At 47.6% G+C, this 18,171-nt stretch overlaps 8 annotated features.

Annotated features, from left to right (window-relative positions):
* Positions 9,821–10,000: an enhancer, noted in NCBI's record as "active region_25991". NCBI's record gives its function as "activates an Ori minimal core promoter by ATAC-STARR-seq in GM12878 lymphoblastoid cells {active_cell/tissue: GM12878}" and the evidence as "EXISTENCE:reporter gene assay evidence [ECO:0000049][PMID:35858748]".
* Positions 10,781–11,710: an enhancer, noted in NCBI's record as "H3K4me1 hESC enhancer chr7:50246159-50247088 (GRCh37/hg19 assembly coordinates)". NCBI's record gives its function as "activates a minimal SCP1, AML or CMV promoter by ChIP-STARR-seq in naive and primed H9 embryonic stem cells {active_cell/tissue: H9 hESC(naive and primed)}" and the evidence as "EXISTENCE:reporter gene assay evidence [ECO:0000049][PMID:30033119]".
* Positions 11,017–11,066: a silencer, noted in NCBI's record as "silent region_18178". NCBI's record gives its function as "represses an Ori minimal core promoter by ATAC-STARR-seq in GM12878 lymphoblastoid cells {active_cell/tissue: GM12878}" and the evidence as "EXISTENCE:reporter gene assay evidence [ECO:0000049][PMID:35858748]".
* Positions 14,865–14,914: an enhancer, noted in NCBI's record as "active region_25992". NCBI's record gives its function as "activates an Ori minimal core promoter by ATAC-STARR-seq in GM12878 lymphoblastoid cells {active_cell/tissue: GM12878}" and the evidence as "EXISTENCE:reporter gene assay evidence [ECO:0000049][PMID:35858748]".
* Positions 14,945–15,094: an enhancer, noted in NCBI's record as "active region_25993". NCBI's record gives its function as "activates an Ori minimal core promoter by ATAC-STARR-seq in GM12878 lymphoblastoid cells {active_cell/tissue: GM12878}" and the evidence as "EXISTENCE:reporter gene assay evidence [ECO:0000049][PMID:35858748]".
* Positions 15,804–16,304: an enhancer, noted in NCBI's record as "H3K4me1 hESC enhancer chr7:50251182-50251682 (GRCh37/hg19 assembly coordinates)". NCBI's record gives its function as "activates a minimal SCP1, AML or CMV promoter by ChIP-STARR-seq in naive H9 embryonic stem cells {active_cell/tissue: H9 hESC(naive)}" and the evidence as "EXISTENCE:reporter gene assay evidence [ECO:0000049][PMID:30033119]".
* Positions 16,305–16,805: an enhancer, noted in NCBI's record as "H3K4me1 hESC enhancer chr7:50251683-50252183 (GRCh37/hg19 assembly coordinates)". NCBI's record gives its function as "activates a minimal SCP1, AML or CMV promoter by ChIP-STARR-seq in naive H9 embryonic stem cells {active_cell/tissue: H9 hESC(naive)}" and the evidence as "EXISTENCE:reporter gene assay evidence [ECO:0000049][PMID:30033119]".
* Positions 17,744–17,793: a silencer, noted in NCBI's record as "silent region_18179". NCBI's record gives its function as "represses an Ori minimal core promoter by ATAC-STARR-seq in GM12878 lymphoblastoid cells {active_cell/tissue: GM12878}" and the evidence as "EXISTENCE:reporter gene assay evidence [ECO:0000049][PMID:35858748]".

An 18,171-nucleotide genomic window follows, 5' to 3' on the forward strand; every position in this document is an offset into this window, starting at 1 on the left:
ACAGGCAGAAGGAAATCCACCAGGTAAGAGTCCACAGAAGCCTGGAGAAAAAGCAGTTTCCAAAAGAAAATGGTGCCAAATGCCGATAAGTGGTTGGAATCAGACAAGAAGAATGGAACATGACCTTGGCAGCCATCATGGCCTGGGATCCTCACGGCCCTGACGAGGGCCATCTCCTGAGGGAAGAGGCTCACTGGCAGGGCTGAGACAGAGTACATGTCTGGCACTGCTGGGCAGCCAGGAGCCAGGCCGGCATGGAGATTTGCTGTGACCTCAGGAGAAAAATGGGCCAAGAGTGGGTGGAGAGGTGGGAGCAAGGGACGGATTTATTTTGTCTTTTAAGATGTGAGATCCTGAAACATGTTTGTATGCTTACATTCATGACCCAACAGGGTACACTGGTCAGGGTTCTCCAGAGAACAGAACCAATAGGCTGTCTGTATACAGAGTGATTTACTTTAAGGAATTGGCTCATGAGAAAGTGGGAGCCAGCTGTTTTGAAATCTTCAGGGCAGGCCAGCAGGCTGGAGACTCAGGGAAGAGCTGATGTTAATAGCTCAAGTCCAAAGGCAGTCTGGAGGCAGGGATCCCTCTTTCCCAGGGGCTGTCTCTTCTGTTAAGACCTTCAACGAGAGAATGAGGTCCACCTACATTACAGAGGACAATCTGATTTCCTCAAAATCTACAGAGGTAAATGTTAATCTCATCCAAAAAATAACTTCAAGGCAATATCTAGACTGTTATTTGAGTAGAACCTGGCCGCTGTAGTGTAGCCAAGTTGACACACAAAATTAACCATCACTTTGAAGAAGGATGTGGACACACGATTCTCTCTGAAGAAGACCTGAGCAATTCGTTTAGGTGGAGATGTCAGTTTGCTGAGACCATATTGTTAATACTCAAATATGGGGAAAATTCCCACCCCTGACTGTCCCTGGTTTTCAGGGACAGTCTAAACTGGCTGCCCATTTGCTCAGGGAGTCCTGGCTTTTCCAGTCCGCACTGATTCTCACAGTATGTGATCCTAAGCTAGGTTCTTCACTAGCATTACAGAAGAATAAACCTTGGGCTTAGGATGTCATGACACTTGGTCTGTAATAGATTTTCTCTGGAAATTCACCACGATGAGGAGAATGTAAACATGACTGGTCTCCAGCAGCCCAGCCTCTGAGCAAGCACTAAGTGGGCCCCATCCTGCCAGCAGCTGCTCCCAGAAGAGCTTCGCTTCTCTCAGATCCACCCTGACAGGAGCCATCACTCTCCTCACCCCTCCAGGTTTCTAGAAGTCTTCAGTCTGCTTTCAATGAGATCACCATCAAAACTCATCCCTTTAGCCCTGAAAGCCCAGCTATGCTCACACCTGTCACTTCTAACAGACTCTCCTCAGGCTGGCTTACATAAGAGGATGGCAATATAGAGAGGAAAACTAAAAGCACGCCTCAGCTACCCCTGCTCCCGACCAGGCTTGACATTACCACCTCCAGGGTCACCTCGTCCTAGCCCCCGATGCAGCTGCCATATTGCCAGAGCCACCTCTTTCTCCTCAGGACCCATGGCCCAGTCCCACCTTACCCACCATTCAGAGCCACAGGAGAGGGGAACAGATGGCCTCTTAAGGCTATCACCGTTACCTGGACAGGAAGGCTTGCTGCTGCAAGGAGGAGAGAGTTCTCTCACCATTGCCAACTGCAGATTTTCTTAGTCTGAAGCAATGACATGACTAAAACTCATCACATTGTTTTGTCTCCAAGAACAGAGGAGTAAGAATCTACTCCCAAGACTGATTTAGACCTCCAGAAACTGATTCCCACTAAAAAATAGCTCATTTGTTCCTTGCCCAGTGAGATGAAGAGGCCCGGGGGTTGCCCTCCCAGCCTGGGAACTGGGAGATAGGAAGATCACATCCTGCGGAGGAGGATCAGGAGGCTCACGGGGGCTGGGCCTCAGGGATGAGTCATGCCGCCAGGCCAGGGAACAGGTGGGTGACAGGCTGAGGGCCGCACTCTGACTCAGCGGCCTGCCCGCTGCAGGCACCTGACGCCCGGTGCTCTGTGGGGTAGGAGTATGAAAATGACCTTCAAAGTGATCATCATGACTCATGCAAGGGGTTGCCACCAGCCTTGGTACTTAGTTTTCCAGAGAAAGGTGATGTTTTGATTCTAATTTATTTTTTTTTAACTCAAACTACTGCTGGATATGTAAATTGAGTTTGCAAACCTTACATGTAATTTCCAAACTGCTGAGAGCGTATTTGAATCATAGATTAAGAAAACAAGATGCCAAGTTTTTTCTTGTATCTTTATGAAAAAGAATAGCACATGAGTAAAAGATTTTTCACCTTTTAATTTTTCAAGGGAATAGAATCAGATTAATCTTTCATGAGACACTCAGCTCTTACTTATTAACATTGATTTTAAGGAAGGGAAAATGAACTAGAATTTTATCTTTTCATATTCCACCTTTAAGGTGTACTCTTGAGCAAATGTGAATAAAATTTTGCCACCAGTAAAACTAAGCCTGTAGGATGTAGTTTTCCAGGATAAAAAGATTATTCCATTTTCTAGATTATGTTAATTACCAGGCATCCTTTCAAAATGAATGTTAGGTGAAAAGACAATGCAAGGACTTGCTTCTGATTCTTGTTATTCAACTATCTGCTCTATGAGGGCAAGAAGACAGGCTAACTTATTCATTAAATGGGGTAAACACCCTCAAATATTTATTTAATAAATGAATTAATAATGGTTGATTTTCAACTGCCATACATAATGATATACACTTCATTTTTTGTTCTTTGTTTTATAAAGAAATTTAAAATTTCACTTCTTGCAGATGGCAAGGATCTTTCATCTGGCACCCTATACAAGTGCAGCATTACATTTGGGTCAGTCCTAACAGGAACCTGCACTTTAACCAGGTGGGCCTGCTCCTCACGTCTGGACTGCCCACCTCTTCTCTGTTCCCTGATGTTTGCCTACCCTGTTTCCCCAGTCCTGAACCTCCGCCATCCAAATATTAGTTACTTTTCCTTTTTTTTTTTTTGAGACAGAGTCTTGCTCTGTTGCCCAAGCTGGAGTGCAGTGGTGTGATCTCAGCTCACTGCAGCCTCCACCTCCCAGGTTCCAGCGATTCTCCTGCCTCAGCCTCCCAGGTAGCTGGGATTACAGGCACGCACCACCACGCCTGGCTAATTTTTGTATCTTTAATAGAGACAGGGTTTCACCACATCGGTCAGGCTGGTCTCCAACTCCTGACCTCAGGTGATCCACTAGCCTCGGCCTCCCAAAGTGCTGGGATTACAGGTGTGAGCAACCGCGTCCGACCACAAATATTAGTTTCTAAATCTTACTCATTTTCTAATGCAAGTTCACATTTTCCTTTCTCCTTTGATTTGAATAGAACTTGCCATTGTTTTGCATCCACCCCTGTCACTGTTTGGCCCATCTTTCACATCATCCTCTCGCAAACTCCCAGGTGTGTCCTCAGCTTGCCACACATTTCACATCCATGACTTCTTGGGGGTGAAATAAGACATGCATATAGTTGGCAGGGAAACAGTGATGCACAAGAGAAAGGTCCAGGGCACATGCTGTGAGAACTGAAAAGAGGGAAGGAGAATGGCTTCTCTGGGGGTCCTTTGGATAGGGCAGGAATCATGAATGATCAGTAGGACCTGGCCAAGTGAAGACAATGGCATGAGCAGGAGCACTGCAGTCAGAGGGAACAGCATGAGGACAGGTAGGGAGTGCAGGAAGCGCAGGCCTGTCCTGGAGCAGCAAGGAGCAGGTGGGCTGCAGATGGCATTGAGTAAGGAAAGGAGGGACTCTCAGAAGCCACTGGGCATGGATGGGGGCCTGAGTGTGGACTTCATGACACATGTATGCTTTCTGTTTAATGGAGAAATTTAATATTGAACATGTTACAGTAAGAACTCAAATCTCCTTAAATAAAGGAATTATTCTGATACTTCTGAACAGAGAGGGGTAAAGAGAAAAGCGTAATTTAGGGAATGACATGTGTTTGGATTTGTGTGCTGACTTTCCTGTTTATTAGCTGGGTAGTGTTGGATAAATTAGCCCATTTTCTCTGAGCCTTAAGGTCTTGCACAGTGAGACGAGAATCTTACCAACCATGTCATAGGGCAATGTGTGAGTGGACTGAGAAGAAGGCACCTGCATGAACCCACAGAATGCCTAGCAAAACGTCTCCCCTCTCCTGGAATGGCCCAAGTGGCCCAGGTTATGTTGCCCGATACTGAATTGCACTGGGAAAAGACACATGGTTTAGCTCAGATAAGCCAGTGGGGAGGCCAGATGTCATCTCTGAGATTTTATAACTGAGTGGAACTTTTTATGTAGGAAAACAAGGTAAAAATTTCCCAAGGGGTTTCTACGAGATTTCCAGCACTTCCTAAATTAGCCCTGACCAGTAAAACCACGAGAGAAGACTTCCTGGCAGGGCTTGGCACTTCCATTTCCAGAACCAACCGAAAGCAGGAAGCATTGAGACAAGTAATAATTCAACTCTTCAGTTGGCTTCCAAAATTATCCACATTTGAGTCCCTTGGCATTTGTACCAAAGGTCAGGAGTTATTCTGATTTTATCTGTTCCAGGTCTTCAACTTGTTTTTGAGTGAACCAAATGCTTCTCACTGATGGAGGTATTTTATGTCTTCCTCCTCACCCCAGTGTATGCTGAACAAGCCTCCCAGTGATGAGCAATTCCATACAATTAGCAGAAATCCCTTAGCTTGAGGTTGTCCACCATTAACCTGGAAATAAAAACTTTAAAATTCTGCTCCTTGGATTTAGATCACCTTGGTACAATTCTCAGCTCTGCCATTTATTAGCTGTGTGACCGTGGGGAAACTTTTAACATTTGCTATGTCTTGGTTTCCTATTCTATAAAATGAAGAAGCTCCATACCCATTAGGATGGCTACTCATTCAAAAAAGTTAAAAGAAAAAACACACAAAAAAAAAGCATTGGCAAGGATGTGGAGAAATCATCATCCTGGTTGGGAATATAAAATTGTACAGCTGCTATGGAAAACTGTATAGCTGTTCCTCAAAAAAATTAAACATAGAATTACCATATGACCCAGCAAGTCTGCTTCTCGGTATCTGCCCAGAAGAATGGATCTGAAAGAGATATTTGTATGTCCATGTTTATAGCAGCATTATTCACAATAACATCCACCAAAAGGTGGATGTTTCCATCTATAAATGAATGGATAAACAAACTGTGGTAAATGCACAATACGGAATATTACTCAACCTTAAACAAGAAGGAATTTCTGACACATGCTATGACATGAATGTACCCTAAGGACATTATACCAACTGAAATAAGCCAGTCATTAATGAATAAGTGCTGTTTGATTGCTCTTATATAAGGTCTCTAGAGTAGTCTAATTTATAGAGAAAGTAGAATGGTGGTTACCAGGAGATAGGGGGAGATGGAAATGAGGACTAAATGTTTAATGAATTCAAAGTTTCTGTTTAGGAAGATGAAAAAGTTCTGGAAATCATAGAGAAAGTAGAATGGTGGTTACCGGGAGATAGCGGGAGGTGGGAATGAGGATTAAATGTTTAATAAATACAGAGTTTCCATTTAGGAAGATAAAAATGTTCTGGAAATGGCTGGTGGTGATGGTTGCATGACAGTGTCAATGTACTCAATGCCACAGAACTATATGCTTAAAAATTGTCTGAAATGGTACGTTTTATGCTATGTGTAGTTTACTACAATTAAACTTTTTTTAATGAAGAAGCACTTTATTTTCAAAAACAGTGTTGGAACATTACAATTTTTCTATACCAGAAATTCCATCATAATGCAATCGTGGATTCTAGGCAAAGCACATAACCATACTAGGCCATCACAGGACATGTCACCTCATTGGTGTGGCGCATTCTTAGAAGGCCTGGCCTTGGCTTTAGGGTAGCAAAGCTTCTCTGGCAGGTATTCAGCTGCAGCGATACAGTGCCTGCGTGGGCATTCCTGCCCCTGGACACGTGGACACATGGAGTTTTCTGGCTTCTTTGTGAATGATACTCAGGCCATGAGCCCCAGTCCCTCCACTAAGAATAAATCCATAACCTTATTTTGAGCACATAATCTGATAGATCATGATGCCAGTGATAAGTTTGCCTCACCATTTCCCTCTTCTATTTTCTTTTACTATGGTATTCTTCCCCCCTTTCTTTTTTCACTTTTCTAAGCTTTATTTGAATGTTTCTGTCTGCTGCAATGGTTTGTCCAAAGATCAACAAGAATAGACAGGGTGTGAGTCCCCAGTCACAACAGTTTTTGACTCCTGTGTTGACTCAATGAAGTCAATAGAAGTTCAAGCCCATCCTTTTTCTCTGACATCCTGGAAGCTCCTGTGTCTTCTCTTGATCCCTTTTGATGGCCTTTGCCCTGTGACCAGAAGAATGCAGAGCATGCTGCAGTTTGGGACCTCAGCTCTGCTGTCAGCACTATGACAAGCTCTTGTTATCTGGTCTCTGTGGTTTTTGATGGGCCAGTGAAATGGGGAGAGGGTGGCCTTTAGGGCCACATAGATGTGAGTGCAAATTCCAGTCCTGCCACTTAACGGTTTTGCATCTACTCTGTGAGGCTCAGTTTTCTTATCTGTAAAATGGAAAATTAATAAGAACCTTGCAGGGTTGTTGTGAGCATTGAACAAGATGATGCAATTAGAGTATGTCATGTAAAAGAGGCAATGAACTGTTCCAAAGCCTAGTGGCTCAGAAGAGCAAGGAGTTGCTGTCTCTCAGGACTGTGCGGATTGTTCCCTGAAGAGTGTGGCCTCAGCTCATCTGTGCAGCTTCTTTGAGCTGTGGGGTCAGCAGAGCTGGTGGTCACATGTCTGGCAGTTGGTGGCTGCCTCAGTTCTTCTCCATGTGACTCTCTTCCTCCAGAAAACCAGATAGGTATTCCTTCCTAGTGGTCTCAGGGCAGTTTCAAGAGGTCAAAAGCAAAATCTGCAAGAGCCCTCAAGGCGTAGCTTCTGGAATTTGCACAACTCTGTCTCCATCCATTTCATTATCCATTGATGTCAGTGCAAGTCACAGGCTGCTCCTGAGTCCAGACTCCAGGGATCAGGAAATGGACCCCACTTCTTGATGGGAGAGCCCCAAAGCCACATTGCATTCTTCTGCTCTTGTATGCTCACCTCTGACACTATCTACTGTCATACACCATCTTCAAGAGTAAAAATAGAAGAGATAGAGATTACTGACTGACACTTAGCATTCCTAAATTTTGAATCTGACCCTGGGTCAGCAACCTACCCCTGCAAGCTTCCCATGGGAAGCTAAGCCTCAAGAGAAAATCCCTGGGTGTCACTGTTGGCCTCAAAGCCACGTAGAATCACTTCAGTGACACCACTTGCCTGAACTGAAGGGAGCAGGAGTAAAACTACTTTACTTCTTTGTTTTCCTCAGCCTAGCCCTGTTATTATCCTTACTCCTTTGATGGTAGCAGGAAAAATGTTCAGCAAGGAGAAGCAAATACAAAACACAGGAACCAGAGCAAAAGCACAGAACAGTGTTCACCCTAATGCCTGTTTATTTTGTATCTCTCTGTCTAATGCTCACCAGAACTACATGGCCCAATCAATATCCCTGGACTAGACCAATACAAAAGCACTCCTCTTCCTTGAGGATAATGAGGGGAAGAAAAACTAAGGGAGGTAGGAGCTTCCCCCTGCTAGAAGTCACCTCCCAAGGCTGAGGCCAAGCATTTTTCCATTTACTCATTCAATAACAATTTATTAAGCAACTATTAATCTTTTACCCCAGGCACTGCTCTAGTACAGAGATCCTGTGTGTCAGTGAGGAGCCTGCACTTTTCTCGTACGATTCTCTCTCTGAGCTCAGCATGGCTGGCCATGCATTGTAGGCTGCTGTCCAAGAGGCTTGCCCAGGCCAGAGACCACCCCAGTGCTAACTGTGCCTTCTCCCCCAGGCTCCATCCCGCACACTGCCTCTTTCAGATCTCTTTCTCTCTCCCTTTGTAGCTCTGTTCCTTCTGGAAGGTGGGGAGGCTCTCTTCTCCCCTCTGTCTACCCAGTAAATTTCCATTTACCCATCAGTTCTCCATAAAAGATTACCTTCCGCAGTGAAGCCTGGCTGGCTCCTGGGCCGAGTAAAGCTCCTCTGTTCTATGGTCTTGTATGATAGGTTCCTCGCCTTCATAATATTCTCAGTTGTAACCATACAGTCATTTATGTGATACTTTGGTTAATCTCCATCTCCCTCCACGAGGCTCTATGCTTTCTGCAAACAAGCACCATGGTCATTTTCTCTCAGCGCCCTATTTCCAGTACCCAGCATAGTCCCTGCAGCAAGCTGTTTATGATCATCGTTTGCATAAGTGAATGGATGGATGAATGAGCAAATCTCCCTGTGTGGTCTGCAGAGGTATCCCCTGAGCCTGTTGCTGGGAATGTAGGGCCCTAAGACAAAACCTTACCTCAAATGAAGACGTCTTCCTAAAAGGCTCAGATCCATCTTTCTCTCATTTCTTTCAGGTCCTCAACCAAGAGCCCCAGGGACCTCATTTCAAGGGTCCCTCCTTCTGTTTCTCACAGGAAGACTAGGAAATACTCGTGCTAACAGATTCCATTGGCTGCCTTAACTGTCCCAAAATCCCAGAATCAGCCCCAATCCTTGCCTTGTTATAATTCAGGTACAGAGAAAACATAAAGACGTTCACAGTTGTAGAGTGATAAAAGCAAATGCTCTTCCATTGGGCCCACAAGTTTTGAGCACCCACTGTGTGCCAGCACCAGCACTCACAATGAAGCAATTCTATGCTGGGATTTTTTGACATCTTAAAATGCCACTTGGTAGTGGTTTGCTAAGAGGGACAAGAGGGAGGATCATGAGTTGAAAGCTGCTGTGGAAGACAGTATAGTTTTCTGGTAAAGACGCATCCAAACTCAGAAGAAGCACAGACAATCTACGACTTCCTGTTGGCTGCTCTTCCAGACAGTCTGACTAGCCTGCCGACATAGCCCTGGTTTTTGAGGGGAACTTAAGCCCTGCATTTAAGGGCCTAGATCATCGCTGCAAGTATCAAAGAACAAAGAGCATAGTCATTAATTTCTAGAATGATGGCTGTAATGAGGAGATGCCGACCTGAAGTCCCAGGAAGGAGGAATTAGCAGCCCACATTTTGTCTTTCCATTGACTGTTGTAGGGTTACAAGGAGAGATAAAGCAATGAGAGTGGCACTGGTTGGCTGTGCTTGCCTTTTAAATATATATATATATTTAACAAGCCTTCATTTTGTCCTAAGAGAAATCAAATGCTGCATTTAGGGGCCTGCAGCAGAGCACAGAATGGGTCGCTGGCCCACTCCTAGCCTGAGCTGCTCCTGACCTTGGAGTTGAAGCTTACCTCGCTGCGGGAGGTCTGATAAGGCGATCTCTGCTCTCCTCGGAGATGCATAAGTGCAGACAGCCAGAGAGTGCCGTGGGTTTCCACCAAGGCCAGGCTATTCGTCATGGGCTCTCCTTGTGGACTGTGCAGGTCTGGGTGGGGGTGGGATTTTAGGAGGGAAATAATGGTGAGGAAATCCTCTCCCTCTCACACTAAAAGTATTTTTTCTTCCCCTGTGAGTTGGGAAAAAAATGGGAATTTTACCAAAATAAATAAATAATAATGATTGCAGAATTACTGTGCTGGAGCTTTTAAGAGCCCAATCTGCAAATGGGGTAAACGGCCACCAGATGGCAGTACTGACCAGGTCCTTGAATCAACCAATGCGGAGCCCACAGACAGAATCCCGCATCACGCTCTCAGGGAGGAAACTGAGGCCAGATCCCATGAAATCATTCGCCAGATGTTAAAAAAAAAAAAATCAGCTGATTCTATTCAGCGTGGCTCTGCTTTCTACAGGGGTCAAGTCTATCACATTGCTATCTTAAAGGACTTCACAGTTGTAGTGATGGAAGCAAATTCTCTTCTTCCATCAGCCCACATGTTTTGAGCACCCACTGTGTGCTGGCACCCAGCCAGGCACAAGGATTTGCAGGGAATGAAATCAGCTCCTGCCCTCCTGGAGCTCGCGGAGCACTTGTTTGTCTGTCTGTCTGTCTTTCTTTCTTTCTTTCTTTCTTTCTTTCTTTCTCTCTCTCCCTTCCTTCCTTCTTTCTCATTCTTCCTTTCTTTCTTTCTTTTCTTTCTTTCTTTCTTTCTTTCTTTCTTTCTTTCTTTCTTTCTTTCTTTCTTTCTTTTTCTTTCTTTCTGTCTTTCACTTCAACTTTTATTTTAGATTCAGGGGGTACCCGTGCAGGTTTGTTGCGTGCATATATTGCTTGATGCTGAGGTTTGGGGTACAATTGATCCCATCAGCTGGGTAGTGAGCATTGTGCCCAATAGGTAGTTTTTCAGTCTTTCCCCCTCCCTCCCTCCCTCCCTCTCTAGTAGTCCCCCATGTCTGTTACTGCCATCTTTATGTTCATGTGTGCCCAATGTTTAGCTCCCTCTTACAAGTGAAAACATGCGGTATTTGGTTTTCTGCTCCTGTGTTAATTCACTTAGGATAATGGCCTCCTGCTGTATCCATGTTGCTGCAAAGGACATGATATCATTTTTACAGCTGTGTAGTATTCCACGGTGTATAGGTATCATGTTTTCCTTACCTAGTCCACTGTTGATGGGCTCCAGGTTTGTTTTGCTATTGTGAATAAGCACTTGTTTATTACGATGTACCTAGGCAGTGCCAGCACCAAAGTCTTACCCAGTTGACGGGAGTTCAAAAGGAGACAGCATCGGCTGTGGATGGGGGAGGGCAAGCCAGGAAGAGGGGCAGGTAAGTTCAAAGAGAAGGTGACATTTTAGTATGTTTTGAAGCCCTGTGTGACTCACACTTGCCTGCCAGGGAGGAAGATGAGGTTATTCCAGGCAGAGGAGCAGCCTGGCCAACAAGACCCTGCATAGCTGGCCACGGAAGTCGGCTGAGGTTGCAGTGTGTAGAGTGTGTGCAAAGTGGGGGGTGGGGGTGAAGCTAAAAAGGAACACGGGGCAGCTTGTGAAGGGTGCTGGACCCGTGATGAGTCGCTTCCCTAAACACGGAGCGACTCATCACATTGCACAGGCGTTGACTGGGCTCGGGGAGAATGGGGGATCGAGAGAAGGAAGCACCAGGCATCCCTCCTGGGACTGATGAGCTGGGCCAGATAAATCTGGGATGGAATTGACCTTAGGCTACCCACCCCCAGCCCCCACCAGGCCGATGGGGTCCTTGGGGAGTCCCACAGCACCCTCTATCGCCGCACCTCTCCCCTCACAGCAGTATCACCGGTGAGCTCCTCTGTCCCCTGGATTAGGAGAGGAACCCCCCGGAACGCAACGCTGCTGGAAATGGGCTCCTGCTTTTGTTTCTCTGTCCCATCAGGATCTGCCTAAGCTCCCTCGTGGAGTGGGTACCCTATAAGCCACTGTGTGGTGTGGACGCACGAGGGGCATGAAGCAGGGGCAGTGAGTGAGTGTCCCTGAGTTTTCTAAGACAAAGCAGCAGCGGCAGATGATGGGACCTCCATGGGGAAGGCCGCGATGCCGAGGAAGGAGGGAGAGGTGAGCTCTCTGGCACCAGGACCCAAGGCCTTCTAGTCCACGTTAGGCCGCAGCCCCCACTGCACGTTAGCCTGCCCCTGGGCAGAAACACCCTGGGGTGCACAGTGTATGGGGAGCTCATGCTCCTGGGAGGGTGGCAGGGGAAGAGGAAGGCGCTGGAGCAGGCAGAGATGGAAGCAAGGAGATGTAACGAGCAAAGTTTTCCATCAAGGAGCTTAAAAAGGAGGGGTTAGGAAAAGCGGGTATGAGGTTGTTCACCTCAAACTCATTCATTCTGGGCTGACCCTGTGGCCACTCCACGGCTGGCATCGCTGCAGCACTGGGGCTGAAACTGGGGAGGCTCCAACCAACTCCCCTCAGGGAACGTTGCTTCCAATGAGAGAAAGTTGACCAGAAATAGCAGCAAAGACAAAATCTGAATGTGGATATTTTCTTTCCCACTGGTGCTGGCAAGAGACTTACTCCAGCTGAGTGGCATGGGCCAGCGGGTGTGGCCAGGGAAGGCCTCTTTGAGGAAGTGACATTTGAGCAAGACGTGGGGGAAAGGAGTGGCCCTTCCAGGCCGAGGGAAGGGCAGGGAGGAGATGGAGAGGCGGCCTTGGGTGGGGTGTGGGAAACTCAGTTGGGAAGGACGTCGGTTCTGACTCCCAGAATTAGGGTAGGCCGGGAGGTTTGTGAGTGGGACCTGTCGCGCTGGGGGATGCTGTGAAGCTGACGCGCTCTGTGGAAGAGAGATGCAGGGCACGAAGGGGGAGCAGGGACCGGGGTGGAGGGCCACAGTCAGTCCAGGACAAGAGGCTGGCCACCAGAAGGTGGGTGAGGGAGGCCATGAGGGTTTAAAGTATTGTCCCTCAGAACTAACTGCTGGGTTAGGCATGCTGGGGTCAGGGAGGGAGGATAAAAAATGGGTTCTGGGGTGAAACACCACGGGAAGGCCCAATGTGTGAAATCCCAGCACTGCACAGGAGGCTGGAGGGACAACATCATCAAGACTTTTCTGGCAAAAGATGGACTTCAGCTGAGGGCACACACACACTTTGGTACAGAATAGTACCTCTCAACTAACCGAGACCCTGTCTCCAAAAAAAAAAAAAAAAAAAAGGTGCCTCCTCCTTCTTGGTTCATGCAGTCAGCCCCCACAGCCCAGGCTGTCCTAATTTGCCCTCCCTCCCACCACAGGCTGTCCTTTCCGTGGCACTGGGGCTCTTGGTCTGAGTCATCTGATACAAGAAGCCCTTTGCTTTTCCATGTTGTCGTCTGCCATTCTTCACCTTGTCCCTATTGTGCCCTTCCTTCCTTCCTTCCTTTCTTTTTCTTTCTTTCTTTTTCTTTCTTTCTTTCTTTTTCTTTCTTTCCTTCTTTCTTTCTCTTCCTTTCTTTTCTTTCATTCTCTTTCTTTCTTTCTCTCCTTCCTTCCTTCCTTTCTTTTCTTTCTTTCTTTCTTCCTGTCTTTCTTTCTTTCTTTCTCTCTCTCTCTCTCTCTCTCTCTCTCTTTTTCTTTCTTTCTTTCGTAGAGGCAGGGTTTCACCATGTTGGTCAGGCTGGTCTCAAACTCATGACCTCAGGTGATCCACCCGCTTCTGCCTCCCAAAGTGCTGGGATTACAGGTATGAGTCGCCGTACCCAGCAAGCTTTTCTTTCTTTGTGCACTTAGCACTAATTAAAGTCAGGCCATCGCCATCTTTATTAACTGAGAAGGGCACCCCTGTGTCCTGAGTCCTGTCCAACAACAGTGGATAGAACAAGTCCACAGCCGAAACAGGTAGACCATCTTTTTTGATCGAAATAGTTTTCTTTTCTCTCTTCAAGGAGAAAAACACAGCATGAAAGAAAGCATTTCTGTATTCTGTTCAGAGATTCCAGGCTTCAGCCACAGCTGTGCAGCCATCACTGAGATGCCCTCTGCAATAAGGAACTTTCATGACCTGACTTATTCCACATTTCTCTCAAGAAAGTGTCCTCTAAAAGTATTGGTATCTATTTTTCAGGAACAAAATATTTTCAAACATTTTAACAGAATCTTAGAAAGGCTTCAAGACAAAAACGTAAGGTGGCTTCAAATACGTAACGCCAGGTCTTTATTTTGGTCATGACACCTCGTTTGAAAAAAAGTAATTTATAGGTATATATTATCCCTAATTTGATCATTATAACATAATAAATAATAGAATAAGAGGCAGGTATTATACAGATGAGGAATCTTGTCTAAGAACACAGGGCATACACGTGGTAGATGTGGGTCTAGAGCTGGGGTTGTTTCCAGTCTGATATAGTCAACAGTCAGTGTGGAATCCCAGAACCTGCGTGGGAGACCCAGAGGGGAGTGTTCATAATCGTAAATGCCTGCCTGCTAGAAAGACCTTTGGGGTTTTTCCTCAGAGAACAAAATATTTATTACACAGGGTTGACTGCTATAATTTAGCATATTTTTCATTGAATTGGCAGGTCATGTAGGCAAGGTGGCCTTATGACTCACACAGAAGAAGTGCATACATCTTGTAAGTGTGTAAGACTTAGTTGTCACTTTCATGTGCTCTTTGCCCAGGGTCACTACCACACACCATGTGCTCCAGCATGGTGGCAGGGGTTCACAGCTCCACACATCCTGCCTGTGGACCCCTCGGTGCCTGGCAGTCACTTCCATTGACTCCTGGCTCCCTCTCCCTACTGAGTCTGTTGGTTAGACATTTTCCTTCTGTGCTTCTCTAAGCAGAGCTCACACCTTTCCACTTTGTCTTCTACACACACTGACTGTAGGCTGAGCCTTTTGAAAGACGGGAGGCAGGAGGGACTGAGGACACACACAGCCCAACCCCATCCTTTCTGATGGAGATAGAAGACCTGGAAAGTGATGTGAGTCGCTGCCAGGGCTCATTCATGCCATTCTCTTATTAATGACTCTCTGCAAAAATAATTACCAGAGTCACACTTTGTATTGAAGTACAAATAAAATGATTCCCTAGAGGATGGAAACGATTGGTCTGGAGACCTTGTCTCATAGGATGTGTCTCCATACACCACCCTGCATTACAAGGGCTGTGCCAGAGACAGCATCCACAGCTCACACTTAAAGGGCTGTCACAGTTCCCATAAGTGACCCTAATTCATTTTCACAGTAGTCTTTTGAAATAAATGCTATCAGGATCACAATTTTCCAGAAATAGAAACTAACACTCAGAGAAGTGAATTATCTGCCCAAGTCACACAGAACATGATGGACCTGGCAGTTGGGCCTCTGTGTCTCCAGAGCATGTATTCCTAACAATGGTCCATTCTGCTGATCAAAGTGAAACATTCTCTGCCCACTAGGAGTTGTGCTTGACCACTCAGTGACTTGTCAGAATTAGACAGAATTTGAAGGAGGTGGGAGGATGGTTGCCTTTCATTGAATTCTCCCATGAGTGAGTGGTTTCATGACCTGAGAGTTGAGTCAAATGGGAATGTGTGCAAACCGGCTGAGGAACTACGCAAATCTCTCCTTATCTGTGCGGGCATCACCTTTGCAATAACTGTGTCCCCAGCATGAGCCAGAGAGGACACTCGAAGGCTTGACCAAGCAGCTTTGTGCAACAGCCTGCTGTATCCAGAAATCTCTTACCCAAGATCACCTTCAACCTCTCTCTTCTTGAACACTGGAAGACAGCGTGGCCAAGACGGGATGTGTGGTCTCTGCTCACCAGGGTGAGAGAAGCATATGAGCTAGAGACAGAACTTCTAACACTTTCTCTGCCACTCTCTAGGTGTGGACAATTCACTTTAGCCCTCTTTAAAATGCCAGAATAAATACCTGACTGTCCTTCATAAGCTGGTATCAAATAAGCTGAAGTTACTCAACAAAGGCAAAATGGTAGAATTTTATTTGTAATAATATTGTTGGGTTTGTTTATCTCCTTCCTTAGTCACAACTACAAAATCTTGTGCTTGGTTCTGAAGACTTTTTCAACACATCAAAGCATGTCTGGTATGGAGAGGTGAGATCTGTACACAATCATAAGAACAGTTTTGATGCATGTGGCAGCTTCTGAGATAGAAGGGACAAATGCCAAGGGATCCACAAGTGGCCAGAGAAGCTGTCTGCAGGCCAGGTTGTGTGTGCCATTCCCTTTCCTGCCCTCCAGTTGGCAGGAGGTCTTCACTCCAGGACAGACTCAGCTGAATTCAGCCAAATTTAAGGGCAGACCTGCAGTCAGCAAAGTTGGTTCCATATGTTTACCTGCCAGACAGCCCCTTCCACAGACAGAACTTGGTGCAACCAGGAGTCACCTGCAGTGCAGCAGGAAAGAGGGATGGCCTCAGGAGGCAGGCACTGGCACACTGGCGTCAGGAGGAGGTGTCTGCATGCTGGCCTTGGGAGGAGGTGCCCACACACTGGCATCAGGAGGAGGTGTCCACACAGTGGCATCAGGAGGAGGCATCCACACGCTGGCATCGGGAGGCAGGTATCCACACACTGGCATCGGGAGGTGTCCACACATTGGCATCAGGAGGAGGTGTCCATACGCTGGTATTGGGAGGCAGGTGTCAGCACTCTGGCATCAGGAGGAGGTACCCTCACACTGGCATCGGGAGGAGGTACCTACATGCTTGAATAGGGAGGAGGTGCTCACACGCTGGCATCGGGAGGCAGGTGTCCACACGCTGGTATCGGGAGGCAGGTGTCAGCATGCTGGCATTGGGAAGAGGCACCCTCACACTGGCATCGGGAGGAGGTGTCCATATGTTGGCATCAGGAGGAGGTGTCCACACGCTGGTATCGGGAAGCAGGTGTCCCCACGCTGGTATCGGGAAGCAGGTGTCCCCACGCTGGCATTGGGAGACAGGTGTCAGCACGTGTGCTCTGGGCTCTGCTGACTGCGAATGCTTCTAGCACCCCCAGTGGGGGAAGGGTCACTTCCCAGGCTTAGGGAAGCTGAGACCCGGGCCAGTGAGGCAACTTGCTGTCACCAAGGTAGAATCCTATGGCCCCTGCAGAACCTGCCTGCCCTATACCCTCCCAGTCCCCTTTTCTTTCCCTTTTTCTTCTCTCCTCCTACCCAGGCCTGCCCGTGTGCCATCCTGCCACAGGTCCTGTGTGGATAACAATACCCTGTAGGCTGAAGCTCATGTTAGAGGTGGCAGAGCACTTTCATCTTAGTCCTGCTTACAGTACACCAGGGGATGTTGGCAGACAATCCGAAGACCACCGAGGGGTGCACTCAGGAGCTGACACTCACTTCCCAGAACCTGTTGGGAAGAGGACTGCCAACCCTGAGCACATGGTCAGCCCTGTGAGGGCCACTATTTCTATTGTACAGGGCTCTTGTGAGATGTGCTGAGATGAAAAGATGAAAGAGAAATGGCCCCGGTCTGTGAGGTTACCATATATTCAGTGAAGAGCAACAGATGCATAAAGAGATGGTGCCAATAAAATGAGGAAGTATATGACAGAGTACCCAGCAGGGGACAGAGTGGGGCTGGCCCTGAGCAGCCCATGAGACAAGGCTGGAGCTGAGGCTTAAGGCAGAGCCCAGCCGGGAGGGTGGGTAGGGCAGATGGGAGCCCTGCATACTGCAGAGGGGAGCGGATGGCCTGACCCAAGGCACAGGAACAAGAACTAAGAGCAAGCAACAGGAAGATGCTGGAGAAAGAGTGGGAGGCAGGCCAGGGCAGGGGATGGGGCAGCTGCTACAGAAAGAGTGGGAGGCAGGCCAGGACAGGGGATGGGCCAGGAGATGGGGCAGGCGGGCAGGTGGGCACGTGGGGCACACATCCTTCCAATACTTCTGCTCTCACACTGTGTGTTTTCTCTATCCACAGAGAACATATGTGGCATAGGTAGGAAGGAGAGCGAGAGGGACCCTGTCCGTGGTCATGGGACAGACATAAGCCACAGTACTTGGCCTGGGCAGAGGCTCCAGCCAGGTTGAGGCAGCAGTGTGATGTGGGTTGGGGGAAGGGCAGGGCAGGAGCAGGGTGTACATGGCAGGGGGACCTCGGGCATCAGCCTGGGCAGTGGGGAGCAGTGGGGACGTGTGCTGGGCACCCTGCTCCCCTTGGTTCCAGGCCAGCACTTATCTCTCAATCAAGCGTGCATGAGGCCAGGATACATATCTTTTGGGGCCTCCAGAGAGTTGGAAACCACATCCGTACCTTGGCTTCTACACGAGAGGAACTGCCCAGGGTTGGAGAGCGCCTGGTCTTCACCAGCTGGCTCCGTTTCCTCCCAACAAGGTCTGCTCCAGGCAGTGGGACGGGTTTTCACCTCTCTGGCTGGAGAGTACAGGCCCTTCTGCTATTCTGGGTCTTTCCACATGTGCACATTTTTGTGCCTCCTCACTCCCCACTCCTCTTCATTTCAGTCTCAACAAATTTAGCACAACCCACCACCACACACCACGGCAATTGCACCTTCCCTGTCCTCTTTGTCTACACTGTGTCCCTCACACAAACCAGGCCTTGGTGCTGACCCCAGGGCAGTGGGAGGGGCTGAGCTCCTCTCCTGGCCACTCAGGGACATGCTGCACCTTGTGTCCTCTACCGTGCTCTCTTCCCTCCTCCTACAACCCATCCATGGATCTCCTCACAAAAGCTGACTTCCGTTT

The sequence above is a fragment of the Homo sapiens genome, chromosome 7, assembly GCF_000001405.40.
Source record: "Homo sapiens chromosome 7, GRCh38.p14 Primary Assembly".
Lineage (NCBI taxonomy): Eukaryota > Metazoa > Chordata > Mammalia > Primates > Hominidae > Homo > Homo sapiens.